This window comes from Homo sapiens, chromosome 12, assembly GCF_000001405.40.
Source record: "Homo sapiens chromosome 12, GRCh38.p14 Primary Assembly".
NCBI classification, from domain to species: Eukaryota; Metazoa; Chordata; class Mammalia; order Primates; family Hominidae; genus Homo; species Homo sapiens.
In genome coordinates this window covers 1,268,784-1,286,490 of record NC_000012.12, presented here as the reverse complement: position 1 = coordinate 1,286,490, position 17,707 = coordinate 1,268,784, and the positions used below count along the sequence as shown (strand labels likewise).

The following is a 17,707-nucleotide window of genomic DNA, read 5'->3' as shown; positions in this document are numbered from 1 at the left end:
AGTAGTGTAATTTTTAATAGATACCCTTTATTAAGTTAAGGAAATTCCCTTGTATTGCTAGGTAGTTAAGAATTTTTGAAAATTATAAATGAATGTTAAATTTTCTGCATTTCTTGAGATGAACACTTAACTTTTCTTCTATCATCTTTTACTGTGATGGATTATAGTAATTAGTTTTCTTTTTTTTTTTTTTTTTTGAGATGGAGTCTTGCCCTGTTGCCCAGGCTGGAGTGCAGTGGAGTGATCTCAGCTCACTGCAACCTCCATCTCCCCAGTTCAAGCAATTCTCCTGCCTCAGCTTCCCAAGTAGCTGAGATTACAGGTATGCACCACCACGTCTGGTTAATTTTTGTGTTTTTAGTAGAGACGGGGTTTTGCCACGTTGGCCAGGCTGGTCTTGAACTCCTGACTTCAAGTGATCCACCTGCCTTGGCCTCCCAAAGTGCTGGGACTCCATCTCTACAAAAAATTAACCACGCCTAGCCAGGATTACAGTAGTTTTCTACTGTTAAGCCAACCTTGAACTCTTGGAATAAAACTTGCTCATGCACATTTTTCTTTTTTGTGTACACTAATTTTGGATTGGTCTGATTATGTTTAGGAATTTTTCTACATGTTCAGGATTGAGACAGGCCTAAGCTTTTCTTTTCCTGTATTAACTTGTAAAGTTTTGATATAAAGTTATGTGAACCTTATTAAATATGTTGTTGAGTGATTGTTCCCTCTCTTTTATATTTCCAAATTGTGTCTGTAAGATTGAAATTATTTGCTCCTTGTATATTTGCCAAAAGTTACCAATATAAATCTCTGGGCTTGAAATTTGTAGGAAAAATTTTTATTACTGCCTCATTTTTCTCAGGTTTTCTTTTTCATATTTAGCTGGCTTTGCTAAGTTCAATTTTTCCTGGCATTTGGTCATTTAGTCTAAATTTTCAAATGTGCTGGCAAAGATATCTTTATATCTTTCTAGCACCTACAAGACTAGTAGTTGTGAACCCTCTATCATTCTAAAATAAATATTGTTCATTGTGCCATTTTTCTTTTTTCTTTTAGTCTCACCAAAGACCAGCTGACTTTCTTGGTGTTTTCAAAGAATGAATTTTGGGCTTTGTGGATTTGTTTTATAAAAGAGTGACAGGGATTTGGTTTCCCACTTGACTATCTTGGGCTGCCTTGATCTTTTCTTTTATCCTATGAAGATATAAAACCCAATGTTCAATAATTATCAAGTACTTATTTTTGAATTCCCTACCTGTTCATCCCCTGACCTGAGAATTTCTTACCTTTTTGCCAAGATATAAATGCAATTTTATTGACTATCTTCAATTGTTTCTGTGAAAGTTACTTCCCCAGCATCAAGTCTGTCATGTTTAAGGACACATTTTACCCTTCATTCAAAACTCTTACTTCCAAAGCAAACAAAAAAAAATTCGATTAAAATATGAGCAAAAGATCTCTATAGACATTTCTCAAAAGAAGACATAAAAATAAAGCCAAAAGTTATATGAAAAATGTTTGACATCACTAATCATCAAAGAAACGCAAACCAAAACCACAGTGAAGCTGGGAGTGGTGGCTCATGCCTGTAATTCCAGGAGGCCAAGGCAGGAGGAAGGGGTTTGAGGCCAGCCTAGGCCACAGAGTGAGACTTCATCTCTACAAAAAATTAGCCAGGCACGATAGTGCACACCTGTAGTCTCGGCCATTCTGGAGGGTTGCTTGAGCCCAGGAGTTTGCAGCTGCAGTGAGCTATGATCACACCACTGCGCTCCAGCCTGGGTAACAGAACAAGACACTGTCTCTCCCTCAAACCACTCCTAAAAAAACCCCACAATGAGATACTATCTCATCCCAGTTAAAATGGCTATTACCAAGAAAGCAGAAAATAACAAATGCTGGCAAGGATGCAGAGAAGGGAGAGCACTCATACACTGTTAGTGAGAATGTAAATTAGTACAGCAACTATGGAAAATAGTATGGTGTTTCCTTAAACAACTAAAAATAGAACTCTCTCATGATCCAGCAATCCCACTACTAGGTATATATCCAAAAGAAAGGAAATCAGTATATCAAATAGATATTTGCACTCCCATGTTTACTGTGGCACTGTTCACAATAGCCAAAATACGGAATCAACCTAAGTGTCCATCAGTGGATGAATGGATAAAATGTGGTATGTATACACACACACACACACACACACACACACACACACACACACACACGAATACTATTCAGCCATAAAAAGAATGAAATCCTGTCATTTGCAGCAACATGAATGGAACTGGAGAACATTATGTTAAGTGAAACAAGCCAGGCACGGAAAGACAGATGTTGCTTGTTCTCACTCACACGTGGGAGCTAGAAGAAATTTGATTTCATGGAGATAGTGAACAGAATGGTGGTTACCAGAGGCTGGGAAGGGTAGGAGGGAGAGGGGGATGAAGGGAGGTTGGTTAATGGGTACAAAAATACAGTTAGATAGAAGGAGTAAGTTGTAGTGTTCAATAGCACAGTAGGGAGACTATAGTTAAATCATTTATTGTGAATTTCAAAATAGCTAGAAGATTTGGAATGTTGCAACACAAGGAAATAATAGATGTTAGAAGTGATGGATACCCCAGTTACCCAGATTTGATCATTACACATTGTACACATATATCAAAATATCACATGTACCCCATAAATACGTACAACTATTACATATTGTTAAAAAATTTAAAAATCTCTACCTTTCAGATTTTTATCTGTTAGTAAAATCATTTTCTTAAAGATTGCTTAATTTTCCCATCCATTTGAGTGTGAGACCCTCAAAGTATTTCTGCCTCAGATTATACATATATCCAAGTAAGTTCTAAAGCATTTTAGTATTCAAGGCAAGAATGGTACCATACATTCCTGGTATTTCCAATCAATCATCTGATTTGCTCTCTGGCTCTAAGCCAGGGAAACAGTTTCAAAGTCAAATTTAATTACTTCATTTTCTGCTATGTTTCCACAATCCAGGAGAACACTTCCAGCTAGAATCACTTGGTTCCATTTCATGCCTACCACTGAGCAGTTGTACAGTATTGGGTACAGCCAGAGAAACGAGGGTAAAGACCGATGAGTAGAAGAAAAGAAGAGATAAATCCTATACTAAACAATGAAGAATTTATCCACACTTTAAAAATATACTCCAGGTCACAGCACAATTTTCAAAAGCAGACGTTTTAAAACACAGAAAAGCTCAGGCCAGAGCTGGGACTCAAATATGTAACTGCCTTCAGTAACATAATAAGCAGAAAGCACGGGGCCTGACAGTGTGCAGTGCCAGCAGGACCAGATGGTTTGCTTAAATCACAAGCTAATAAACTTTTGCTCAGAATAAGAAGGGAACAAATTATGACTTTACCACAGACCTATTTTCCTTAAGAAAGCAGCACAACAGGGGGCTTCAGAGGCTGGCAAAGCCCGCTTCTTCAAGTTTCCCACCTTCTTCTGTTCCACAACCAGGAGAAAAACACTTTTTGTAGTTTCCAAGATGCGTATGGAAAATCTTGTTATACTCTCTTGGGAGAGTAAAAGGCGTAAGTCTCCACAAGAAGAAAACAATTAGAAGAAAAAGGGAGTGGTACAAAAAGATTATCCAGAGGTTCAGCAGTCACCATGCAAGCCAGATTGTCACTTGAGAAGTCCACTGGTTTCCCTGACTAGAACAAAGTTCCAGATTAAAACCTACTGTTTTATAATTATGAAGAAAAAAAGGTAACAAGCTCTTGAGTGGAGGAGCATTTTTGAAGTATTAGTGAAAACATATATACACATATACCTACATACATAAATTCTATCATCCTTTCCTAGGAAATTCCTTTAGAGGATCTCACAACTATTGCTAATGAAAATTTGAATTTACATTTCCCAAGAGAGCTTTAGGCTATCATTTACACTAGAAATCTCTTTTTTCCAATACGTTCTTTTTGCCAACTCATGGTAATTCTTTGACAAGATATATACCGGCAGTACAGTATTTTATAACTATGGAATAACTATAGTTATTGCAATAATAATTACTTACATTATTTGTCTACTTTGAAGTACACTGTTCTAAGTGCTTTAGATGTATTGTCTCATTAAAGCCTCAAAATGATCCTATATGGTGGGTATAAAGTATTATTATCCTCATTTTTATGGCAAAAGAAACAGGGTTAGTGGGTTTAAGTGCCTTGTCCGAGGTCATACAGAGAAAGCAAAGCTAGGATTCCAAGCTGAGTAGTCCGACTCCATCCTGCTGTACACACTGAGCGCTGCTTTGCTACCATGTATCAGTGTTTACCAAAATCACCCACAATGGTATCTCATGAGTCACTCTGGGGAGTGTTCCCATTCCCACTCTTTTTAAAAGAGAGTGGAAACGTATCAGTGTGAAAGAAATGCTTCTTTTTCAAGCCATCTCAATTTTCCTTTTATTTAAAAAAAAAATCAACTCAGAAGGCTTAGGAAGATAAATCCCGTAATAAGCACTCATCACTCCTAAGTAGGGTTTGAAAAATAAGACACAATAAAATGTGGATGCACATTTTCAAAGCAAACATCCCCCTGCTGCTATGACCCTCAGTATCTTGCGTCACTGATGTTAGAAAGAGGCTAAGACGGGCCAGTGTTTCATCACTGCCAATTCTATTTAGGTGACTTTGACAGCACAGCATCAAAACTAAAAAATAAATACCTGAATTAATGCCCTGAAAACAAACTATCTTTTCAGCAGAATATTATTTCATTTTTTCTATTTTTAAGTCAGCCTACATCATGCTTTGACAGCAAAATATTATTTATCTCCCAAGATTTGCTTATTTCAGCAACAGATTGTAATGGAATCAATTAACACAAAAAATTAATGATCTACTGGGTACACATAAGCTCCTGGAAGAAGGGAGGACAGAAATAATCTAAGTAATAGATTGCATTTTCTTCCTCCAGCAGTAGTAACAAAGAAGATGTGGCAACCACCATTTTATGCTTTCTTCTGCATCTGGGTCTGAGAGCTCTTAATATTTCATTAGGGTTTGTGACAAATGTCTAATTTAGGAAATGAAATATGAATAGAGGTGGAATGACAAAGACCATCCCTAGAACTCTGAGCTCTGATAATTTCTCTTCTGAAAAGGCATTTTTTTTTTGCTTTGCTAGGGAGTTAACACAATAGAATAAAGCAAGTGTTGAATGGCTATATAATTTGTCCAGGTTTTGGAAAGAAATTTCCTTCTTAGTTTAAATAATCTGATCATCTCAAATGGAGAAAATATTTATTGCATTTTATTCGGAAAACAGCAAACAAAACAGACCATGTAGGGATTCAGCCCTTCTTCTAAGATCAAATGAAATAATGTGAGTAAAACAGACTCAAACACTTTCCTTAAGTTTTTAACAAAAATAAAAGTTCACTGCCATTTTAACTGGAAATTTTAATTCTTCTCATTTGCAATGGTGAAAAAAACCAAACTGCCACCTAGAAATAAATAAAGTTGACATTTCATTAATTAGACACACATTTTGTGGAGAAAATTTATTTCAACACAACCCTGGACAGTTGTTAGAAACACAATGTTGGCAAATAAAATGACACTTACTTGACCTTATCAAAAGTATACTATTAGCCAAGGGAGAAAAGTAAAAGGATGGGATTTTATGTCTGGTAACCCTAGGACACCAAGAGGGAAACTCATAAACATCACGTAAGTGCGTGTATAATATGTGTATGTATGTGCATATATGATACGTGTATGTTTGCGCATGTCTGGTGTGTGTGTGTGATTTTGGCCATAATAAGGCTCAACACTTGTATGCTGCCTTTGTAAGCGACTAAAACCCTTGCAAATACTTATCTCAATGTGAGGTGGTGAGTGGATACTTGTGGGGATAATAATTTCTTCCATCTAGGTGAGATTACAGATACTTGGAGAGATTACAAAACTTATGCCAAATCACTGTTAGTACACAGAACAAGGATTAGAATCCACGTCACTTGACTTCTAATCCGAAGCACTTTACATTAATTTTAATGCATCTTTATTCATTTATTAAAGAGGGTAGAGACAAGAGGAAGGGACAATTGAATGTCCAAATAGGGCTTGGGACATGACACACACAAAAACTATCTGTTGAATAGGATAAATCCCACCGTGCACATTTCTCCAGAAAAAAATATCTTTCATTGAAACATCCAGGAAGACACAGCCAAGGAGAATATAAACTGCATATAAAAATCAGCGGGAAGCCATCTGGCTCCCAAGGCTTTACTTTCAGCCGTATCTTGGATGACTGCTTCTATGATCAATAACTTGGTTTATCAAACTTCTCAGTAGGAGAAAAGAAATAAGAGCCAAACACCCCAAGAACTCATTACAAGCGAACGATATATCCCTTGGTATAGATCCACCACATAGACTCCAAGAGTGCTTCCTGCTACAGAAGTTGCTCTGCAGTTTAGATAGAGTATAGGGTATAAAAACATGTCTGGTCGGGCACGGTGGCTCACATCTGTCATCCCAGGACTTTGGGAGGCTGAGGAGGGTGGATCATGAGGTCAGGAGTTCGAGACCAGCCTGGCCAACATGGTGAAACCTCGTCTTTACTAAAAATACAAAAATTAGCTGGGCATGGTGGCGCACGCCTGTAGTCCCAGCTACTTGGGAAGCTGAGGCAGAAGAATTGCTTGAACCCGGGACGCGGAGGTTGCAGTGAGCCGAGATTGCACCACTGCAGTCCGCAGTCCGGCCTGGGCGACAGAGCGAGACTCCGTCTCAAAAAAAAATAAATAAATAAAATAAAATAAAATTAAAAAAAAAAAAAAGTCTGCTTTGAAAACCAGTATCCATAGACTTCTGGCAGTCATTTCTGGGGTTTAATTTTGGATGTGCCAAAGGTTTGTTTCCACTGGACTTAATTTTTTCACATCGCTCTAACTTTTGAAAACACAGATACAGTCCTTTTGCTGAATAAAATGAAAACTCGAGCCTAAATTTAAAGGCATAGATATTTCCTGGACTTCCAGGACAGTAATATCATGTACTACTTTGTCAAAAAAATTTTCTGGAGGTTTTTCTAGAGGAAGAAACTAAGATAACAACAACAAAAAAAGACAAATCCAAATGCATTACTTGAAGAGCGACTACTCATGTTTCTAGAGAATTTTTTGGTCATACTATGTCATGGGGTTATTTCCTGGGGGCTTCAGTTCTGCTTCAGAATTTCTTTAGTAGTTATCTACTGACCCCATCTGGTAAAATTATAGAGGAAGTTACAGTCGTTAAAGCTTCTGTCAACTCGATTTCTAAAAATTTTATGTAAAGAGATATTTTAAGAGAAATAAGAAAATAGGAGATCAGGGCAAATGAATCTAAAGATCTTTAGCTTTATCTTCCTATACACATAGGATGAGAGAGAAAACATACAATTAGGAAAAGGTCATGCCATTCACTTAGAAGGATTTTAAATTCCAACTAATTTACACTCCAAGTTCATGTTGAGTATAAAATCTCCACTTTTTTTTTACTGTTATATTATTTATAAAGTTTTCTGCTTTCTTTTTCAAGTATACTAAACATTACTCCATCTTTTAGGGCTATCCGTATTCTAAAAGAAAGAGTTCATGTTGCTGCCTTTTCCCTTGATTGTTAGCACTCTGACCTTTTATTAAGGGTTCTATTAAAACTCTAAGGCTTTTTTTATTGTTTAAGATAAACACAAGGTAATTATTTTAAAATTGTATTCAGCAGAAAGGGATGAATATAACTTTAAATATAGTACAAGGTAGCTTCAAACTTTAAGTACAGAGTTACTAAAAGTGGAGAAATGTCCGTTTTAACCATGAAATTTAATCTTATGATTAAAGATTTGTGTTGTTTTCTAATCTATCAATATTCAGAATCTGATTCCATTAAAAGGGCTAAAAATTACACGAAGAAATGGAAGGTTTTAAAAACACACTGAGTTTCATTTTCTTCCCTACTATTTCCAGATTTTTTAAGGTGGCTACAACAATACTATGAAATTTCAACTCTTTTTTTGGACATTCATTCTCTGAGACATTGAGTTTTTAAACCTCCTGTCATTAGAACATATCTGGGTAATTTCCATTAATAAATGGATCAAAATGCAGAGTGCTGGGTTGCCATTACTAGAGACTTTATCATTCCTCTAACTTAAGTCATTTCATACATCTTTCAAAGATCAAAAGAAGGAGAAGTCTAAACATGGAGATTTCTGGTAGGGCAGGGTACAGCCATTTAACAACTTCTTTCAACAAGCCAGAGATGGCAGAATTCTCTTTGAAGTGGCAGCCCTGTTGGCTTTTGAAGTCCCTTGTCAATTGCAGAATGGCTGTGGTGGGGTTTGTTTTGTAACCAGCTGTCACCATGAAGGCAGACATGACGTATTTCCAGCAGTCTCACTTCAGGGTCTGTCAAGTGACTGATTTCATAACCAGCCACCATAACAAAGGGGATTCAAACTCCTTGACAGCAGAGCGAGAGTCTACAGTGAAACCTACGAGGTTCCTCTTGACAGAATTTGATTGAAAGACTGAACTGATTACACAACGGCAAAGAGAAGATGATCGTGAACTGTCATATCTCTTAGGTACCTGAAACATTAAAAATATACTTTCTATATGCTTATCAATATCATGTTCCATAATAACATCTTACATTTTAAAAATGAAGTATCTTTGAACAACAGTATCTACAATCTGTGCATTGACCAAACATGATGAACTTCTGCAGAAACCAGTAAACTGCTTTACAAGCACCGTTTATGTTACCAACGTAACACTCTATTTTTTTTGTAAGACAGAATGATTCTACATAGTTCTGAATAACGTTTGTATCTGTAACACTTTTGGACTGCTTAGCTACTCATTTCAAGAATGTCTCACAGAAATCAGTTAAGACTTATAAGAGCAAGCAAAGAAAATGAATTTAGGATATGTTAAGAAGAGATTTCTGTAAACTATTAAATGTAACCCATTACAGCACTATATGAAATGAATCAGTCTTAATAATATTATGAACCTATTTCCAAGTCCGGGAAAGATGAGGCAAATCTTGAAAAACCTAATGTCAAATTTACCAGTGATGATCAGAAGCATCAGTCCCACTAAAAGGAAATAAAGTAGGATCAAAAAGATTTTCAAATGATTCTAATCAGTTTATACCTGCTCTGCAGAATGTTTTGAATTATTACATGTTTTCATAAACATGGTGGCCTGGTACTTCCGAGTGGAAGGCTCACTGCTACATAAGACTTTCAGCTAGTTCCCACTAGCTAAGAGGTCAACAACAGTGGGCCTACAATTTTGCACATTCACTTTTTGAGACATATAAGCCCTCTGTTTTGCCACTGAAGGACAGGTCAGGGATAATAATGATTTCTAAATTGTATTTTTCCACTCTGGCTACCATTCTTTAAAATCAAGCACAAAAATGTAAATAACTTTCACATAAATATCTATTCTAATTCTTTAAATCTACAATTCTGACACCTTTAAGTTCTTCTGTTCAGATGAAAAAGTAGTTTATCAAATCCAGTGGAAACGCAATTGCAACAAAGAAAACATTTCAAAACACTGTTTAGATAAGTATAAAAATATGATAAAATTACCATTAAATCCTAAATTGTTTAGTAAGTACAGTGATGCTGCAAACATTAAGTCAGGACAAAATTTCATTTATTCGCTCATAATTTAATTACTTAGTAAATATTCATTGAATGCCATTGTGTACCAGGTGCAATGGTAGACGCTGAGGATACAACAGTAAATAAGACACAGCTCCTGCCCTCAAGGAGCTTTCATTCTAGGAGACAAAATGGAGACAGTCTCTTAAAGCAATAGGTAGTAAATACGTAATAATAATGCAGTGTTATTAAAAAAAAAAAACAGGACTAAGTACAAGTGCAGTTGAAAAACATGAGAGGCTGGGCACAGTGGCTCACGCCAGTAATCCCAGCATTTGGGAGGCTGAGGTGGGCAGATCACCTGAGGTCAGGAGTTCGAGACCAGCCTGGTCAACATAGCGAAACCCCGTCTCTACTAAAAATAACAAAAAATTAGCTGGGCATGGTGGCGGGCGCCTGTAATCCCAGCTACTTGGGAGGCTGAGGCAGGGATAATTGCTTGAACCTGGGAGGCGGAGGTTGCAGTGAGCCGAGATCACGCCACTGCACTCCAGCCTGGGCAACAGAGAGAGACTCCATCTCAAAAAAAAAAAAAGAAAAAGAAAAAGAAAAACAAAAACATGAGAGAGACATGTAACTCAGACTTGGAAGGTCAGAAAAGGTTTTATGGAAGAAGTAGGATTTTTCCAGACAAGGGAATAAGGTAAGGTTGAAGAGATTGCTTCACTCAGAAGGAACATGTAGTTTAAGACATGTAAGCCCTTCTTTACTCTTCTGAAAAAGGACCCAACAAGAACTGGCACTTGTTTTCGACCTAGAAAACATTACATATATCTGAGAATCTGTTGTTTAACAACTGAATAATATTATAAAGAAAGAATGTACCAGAGTGACTGGCAGACAGTAGGTAATCAGTAAGTGTCAGTAAATCTACAAGAATTGTAGTTTGTATTAAGAATAAAAGGTACTCTGCCTTCTGACACAAGTGGAAGCCTGAGACCCTCACCAGAAGCAGATGCGGGCATCATGCTCCTTGTACAGTTTGTAGAACCATGGCCAAATAAACTCCTTTTCTTTATAAATTACCCAGCCTTAGGTAATTCCTTTATAGCAACACTAAATGGAATAAGACAACCATCCACTTAAAGATCCTCGTGATAAGAAGCGTAGAAATCAACCTTGCCACTTCCCTCTCCTCTCCCTCATCATCAACATGCAATTGACCAGCAAATCTTGCTGAGTTTATCTCCAAATAGACCTCTCCATCTCCTTTGCCATCACCCTACATGTCCTTGGATTATATGTTTTCCTAACATGTCCTCAGCCCTTTCTACCCTTACTCTCCTATTTATTCTTCATATAATTGCTGGAATACTCTATTTTTGAGATGGCGCAATCTGGACTCACTGCAACCTCTGCCTCCTGGGCTCAAGTGATTCTCCTGCCTCAGCCTCCTGAGTAGCTGGGACTACAGGCGTGCACCACCACGCCCAGCTAAATTTGGTATTTTTAGTAGAGACAAGGTTTCACCATGTTGGCCAGGCTGGTCTCAAACTCCTGACCTCAGGTGATCGACCTGCCTCAGCCTCCCAAAGTGCTGGCATTACAGGTATGAGCCACTGTGCCCAGCCTGGAATACTCTTTTTAAAACAGGAAATAAGTCTTACCGCTCTTCTGCTTAAAATTACTTAAAAGATAACCACTGTGGTTGAGATAAAACCTAAAATCATTAACATGACTATCCTATATATTCTGGTTTCTGCCTACCTCTCCAGTTTCATGCCACACCATCCATTCATTCACTCATTTATTCAATCACTCACCTACTATCCATAGAGCTACCGGCTCACTTTGACTTAGTACACTCCACGAACTCTGGTTTTCTTTTGATTTCCGAACTATGCCAAACTATTTCCATCATTAGGGTCTCCACACACGTGGTTCCTGCTGAAGTAAACTACCTGCCATTCTTAATTTCACTAATTCCTACTTACTTTTCATTTTCATTTCTCAATTTAAGTATCAATGTGTTAAGAGATGCCCTCCAGCTAGGCACGGTGGCTCATGCCTGTAATCCTAGCACCTTGGGAGGTCAAGGTGTGCGGATCACAAGTTCAGAAGTTCGAGACCAGCCTGAAAAACATGCTGGAATCCCATCTCTACTAAAAATACAAACATTAGCCGGGTGTGGTGATGCATGCCTGTAATCCCAGCTACCTGGGAGGCTGAAGCAGAAGAATTGCTTGAACCTGGGAGATGGAGGTTGCAGCAAGCCAAGACCGCACCACTGCACTCCAGCCTGGGCAACAGAGCAAGACTCTGTCTCAATAAATAAATAAATAAATAAATAAATAAAATAAAATAAAATAAAATAGACGAGATGCTTTCCCTGACCATTCACTCTAAATAAGGTCCCCTGTTACACACTTTTATAAAATACTATACTTTTTTTATTTGCATGGATCAAATTTTAAAGTATATGTTTATTTCTGTGATCAATCTCCCCTACTAACATATAAGCTCCATGAGGAAAAGGACCATACTCATTTGGTTCAGTAAAGTATTCTCAGTTTCTAGCACATAGGAGGATCTAGATAAACAATGAATGAACAGCGAAATGAATGGATGATACATAAACTTTTAACAATGCTGGGGTGGCATGTTCTCACTATGGACATCTAATGTAGATGACTCTCATTTCTGTAACTATTCCACTCCTTTTTCCTCCACTAATTCCATCACTCACGTCATAACTTTAAGCATCTACATGATGCTACCACACGAATGTGGAAGAAAACACTCACATGCAATTATAATATCCCTTGAAAGTGATCTAGTCTTCCACCATTATTTCTTAAAGGAAAAATTACTTTTGACAAACATGGTTTTATGTCACAAATGTTTTTCCAAAAACAAAAATTTAAAAAATGACCAACTATATCAGAAAATGCTTGTATTTGAATATCCTAGTGTCACAACTCTGTCAGGCTTAGGAGGAAAAACTAACTAGTATCTACTAACTATGTATATGTAGATAGATAGATATCCATGTATCTATCTGTCTGTCCATCTGACTGACCGACCATCCATCCATCCATCCACCCACCCATCTGTCCAACATACTATAGAGTTGAACTGTCCAATATAGTAGCCACTAGGCAGATATGGCCATTAAAATTTACTTAAAATTAAATAAAAGCAAAATATCAGTTTTTCAGGTGCTCTAGCCAAATTTTAAGTGTTCAACAGAAACGTGGCTAGAGGCTACCATCTTGGTAGAACAGACATAAAACATTACCACTGTTTTAGCAAGTTCTATTTGACAGTGCTGCTATAAAGACTACAGAGGTTTCAGAAGCCAATAAGCACTTGTGAAGAAAAATGTATACTTATAATATTCACTTTATGCCAAAAAAGTAACTTTTGTTTAGATTTCAAGTCCTTCTAATATTGAATAGTATTTAGAAACCGTATCTGACCACTACGAGTGAGCATTGCTACTAAGAAGATGATTTGTTTTCTAGGTATTTGCAGTACATAGGAAATGCATGTGTGACTGTTTAAGAGAAAAAAGTCATAAATTTAAACAAATGTTTCAAATTCCAATTTAAGATTACAAAGACTAAACCCTTAAAATATTTTTACGGTTTTAAAATTTCCGTATCTTCCTGCTTCTAGGAATAACATCTAAGGATAACGTTCTAAAACCAATGCTTAGTTTCAAATAATGCTAAGAAAGTATTTTTCCCCTCCCTCCCTTCCTTCTGGAAACTATAGAACATCTGGCTTAGTAAAACTGAAAGACAGCATTAGAACTGGATTTTATAGCATATATTTCTAGCAGTTTACTAAAGCTACTCAAGGTTTTTTTTTTTTTTTTTTTTTTTTTTAGACGGAGTCTCACTCTATCACTGAGGCTAGAGTGCAGTGGCATGATCTCAGCTCACTGCAACCTCTGCTGCCCGGGTTCAAGCAATTCTCCTGCTTCAGCCTCCCAAGTAGCTGGGATTATGGGCACCTAGCACTGCGCCCAGCTAATTTTTGTATTTTTAGTAGAGATGGGGCTTCACCATCTTGGCCAGGCTGGTCTTGAACTCTTGACCTCGTCATCCACCTGCCTCAGCCTCCCAAAGTGCTGGGATTACAGGTATAAGCCACAGCGCCCGGCCTACTCAAACTCTTTTTATGAGAAGACCATGGATGTAAAATAGGAAATAATGTACAGATTAAGAACCTGTATTGATCTAAGACAGACTCTCAGAGAATAAATAATCTGGTGATAAGAATAATGTCCATCTGATCAACATATTAGGTGACTGTGTTATTCTCAGTTGATGCAAATCTACAACTTCTAGAATATGAGACCAGATTGGGGAGAGGACAAGAATTTCCTTGAGTCACAGTATTAACACTTGACATATGTAAATTAGAATTTAACAGTAAGTTTGTCACTGCTGGTGCTGAATCAACCAGACAGGGTCTATAAATACGACATTTCTCTGGGGCCTTCAGCCAACCAGTGAGAGCAGTGCCTCCCCTTGGAACCACAGAGGGCAGTGGTGGTGACAACAGAAGTACCAATAGTGGTAGATGTTTACTATGGCTTTACCACGTGTCAGAATCTGTTAAAGGTGCTTTATACAGATACCATCTCTTTAATGTGGCAGATGTAGTAACTATTTCTTTTACAGCTCGGGGAACTGACCCACAAGTAACTTGCCCAAGGTCATAATTTCTAAGTGATGGGAGCCTAATTCCAACCAAGGTTTCTAACTCCAGAGTCCACCTTCTTCGCCATTATGGAATACAGCTTCCCTAAGGTTCTGGAACGACCTTTTGAACTGGAAAGCCACAGTGTAAAAATTTCTGTACCTAACCTATCACTTCTGCCTCTCTCAGACTCGACTTCCCTCACATTCAGTAAGCCTACTTTCAGCTTTGTAAGATTACAAAGAAGTCCTCTCAGATGAGATGAGCAAGCCTGGGGGAAAAACTGGTTGGAAGGTGAGAATCAAAAGATTGAACTTAGTTTCTGGTTGAGATATCAAGGAAATATTGGTGTAAAGATATGAAATGGGTTGTTGTCTATTTCATAACTTTGGATCTCAGAAGAGAAAACTTGGCTAAAAATATAAATTGTGCACGCATACAGTGCCAGCTATGTGGAAAGGTAGCTTGAGCCCAGGAGTTCGAGGCCATAGTGTGCTATAATCATGCCTGTAAATAGCTACTACAGTCCAGCCTGAACAACATATCGAGAACTCATCTCTAAATCAATAATAAAAATATCTGATAACAATTCTAAAACTGACGATAATGTAGCTAACATTTCTTTAATACCATGTCTTGCTTCTTATCCTCAAATTTTTCCCTCAGGCTTTCTCATCTCAAAAAATTATACCACTATTCTCCCAGTTGGCCAACCAGAAATCCAATGGCCATCTTTGTTTTCTCTTCTATCCTTTATCCATACATGTAATTCACCAAATCCTTTTAGCTCTATTTCCAAAAGACGTTTTAAATCTATCTATTTCTCTTTATCTCCACTGTCACTGTGGAATCTCTTCAGCTATTGCCTGATCTGCCCAACCTCTTGCATAGACCAAAAGTCTCTCTACACATTTTTGCTTCTATACCTCCTAAAAGAGTTTATACAACTATGATTTTTAAAATGTATCTTTTTATACTTCTTTTTTTCTGCTCACAAACATACTGAGACAGAATGATTTTAACTTGATATATAAATGTTTTACGTCGAAAATTTAAAGAGTTGCAAAGATCTAATTTCTTGGGTATTAAAGACTGTTTTTTAAAAAAGCATCACTTTTTTAAAGAAAAGGAAGTATCCAATAAAATACAAATACCATACTTGATATCCATCATCATCTATTCAAAAACCGTTAAGGACAAATTATTATTTACATTTTCCTTTTTCTCTTTGACCTTGTTTCCATTCTACTTCTCCTTAGAATTTTATACTAATGTAATTTACTTTGTGCTAGATGGCTTGCACAGATCCTGTCTTGTACTTTTCTCAATAAAAATATTTATATAAATTTAAATTTGATATTTTAATATTTTCCTGTGGTCATAACCCTTAAGAATTCTTGTGCACTGAGTTATGATTAGAATCACTAGTTATATAGTATCAATCAAAACCAATAGATATATTAAATATTATAAGAAAATTATTATTAAACATGAATACATTTTAATTAAAATGTATCTTATTAAACATATTATCTTAATGAGATTAATGGGACTTTTATACTTTTATTAGTTTAGATACCCCTTGTTAATATTACTATTAATAGAAAGATAAAGGTTCAGACCGGGCACAGTGGCTCACGCCTGTAATCCCAGCACTTTGGGAGGCAGAGGCGGGTGGGTCACCTGAGGTCAGGATTGAGACCAGCCTGGCCAACATGACGAAACCTCGTCTCTAATAAAAATGCAAAAAAATTAGCCAGGCGTGGTGGTGGGCACCTTTAGTCCCAGCTACTTGGGAGGCTGAGGCCCAAGAATCGCTTGAACCCGGGAGGTGGAGGTTGCAGTGAGCCAAGATCCCACCGCTGCACTCCAGTGTGGGTGAAGAAGTGAGACTCCATCTCAAAAAAAAAGGAAGATAAGGGTTCAGCATCAATTCTATCGGTATGTTTCACTTCTATAGATGTAAGCACTAAGAAACCTTCATCATATAAATGGATAGGAATGGAAGGAGTTTTGTTGTAGCAATATAACTCAACTCTTTGCATTCCTTCAGAATTACATACCCCAAACCAGATAGTAACGTGTCATCGAAAATTATTTATCATAATCTACCAACTGGCAACTTAATTAGGTTTTATTTCAATTCTGTTGAAAACAACCTGACGGACTCATCCATTATCTTAACACCAATATGCTGAATTGTCCCTTTGTTAACATTCCAAAGTTTTTTCACCTCTGAGGAATAGAGGATAGTAAGAGTCAGGAGAGTTGTCAAGTGAGGGGTGCAGAACCGTGAAGGGGAAAATGAAAAAGGAGAATCTGCACACCTTAGGTGCCTTTTGAGCAGATCAATTTCAGGGATACGTATGTTTAGAGGCTGAGAGCCTGTGCCCATGTGCCTTTTGGGAAAGTGTTCATGCACTTTCAGGTGTGTGCATACCTCAGTTAGAAGACATCCAGCCTAGGCTACTTTAATAGTCCATCTGATCCTCCCGCTTTCAATCTTACCCCCCTCTAATTCATCCTCCACCCAACACCCAGAATGATCTTTTAAAAACATCAATCAGATGATGTCACGCCCTCTTTAAAACTCTTTAATGGCTTCCATTCCTCTTATGGAATGGCCTTATATAAAAGGCCCTGCATAGCTTGCACTGTTCTTGCCCGCCAGTCATATTAGTCTTCCTTAGACACGTTCAGCTCTTCTCCACCTTATTACCATTATGATTGCTGCTTCTGTCCCACTTGTCACATGGTAAGCTTCTTAGCCTTCAAGGCCCAGGACAAAGCCGCTTTCACAGAGGACCCTCTCTGAGCACTTAATCTAAAATAGCTGCTAACCCTCCAACTTTCAAGAAATTATTGTGTATTTCTGAAAACCTGTTCCTTTGTCATAACTAGCAATTAAATGTTATCTGTTGGGTTAGTGTCTGTGTCCCTATCTGAACTGTAAGGTCTCAGGCATGAAATTACAGCTACTTTGTTTATCAGTATGTATTGTCCAGGACTACAACAGCACCCACTGAATAAGTTATAAAGATCTGTTGAATGAATAAATGAGCAAGTAAACTAATAATAACTATTGTTCTTTGTTCAAAGGTTCTCTACTTCCTTGAACATAAGCTTGAACATGCTTCATTCAGCATGATCTGACTGTGCACACCTGTACAAAGGATCTCCCTTACTCTCTCATCTTTTTCTCTTCTTTACATAGTTCTTGCCATTCCTATTTACACTCAACTGTAGCTACTAACCACAACTTGGTTTCCTAGACGCTTCTAGCTTTCACTTCTGCTCCCTCTACATGGAACATGTTGAACATCTTCCATTTCTTTGCCTAGTT

General features: G+C 37.4%; 1 protein-coding gene across 54 annotated transcripts in view, besides 1 other annotated feature; it reads right to left on the bottom strand.

The window, feature by feature from the left end:
* Window positions 1-17,707, bottom strand: part of ERC1 (ELKS/RAB6-interacting/CAST family member 1) — a 505,975-nt gene that overhangs the window by 209,443 nt on the left and 278,825 nt on the right. The gene's annotated exons all lie outside the window — the stretch shown is intronic.
* Window positions 17,221-17,421: a silencer, noted in NCBI's record as "peak1534 fragment used in MPRA reporter construct". NCBI's record gives its function as "represses an SCP1 promoter by STARR-seq MPRAs in K562 erythroleukemia cells {active_cell/tissue: K562}" and the evidence as "EXISTENCE:reporter gene assay evidence [ECO:0000049][PMID:32103011]".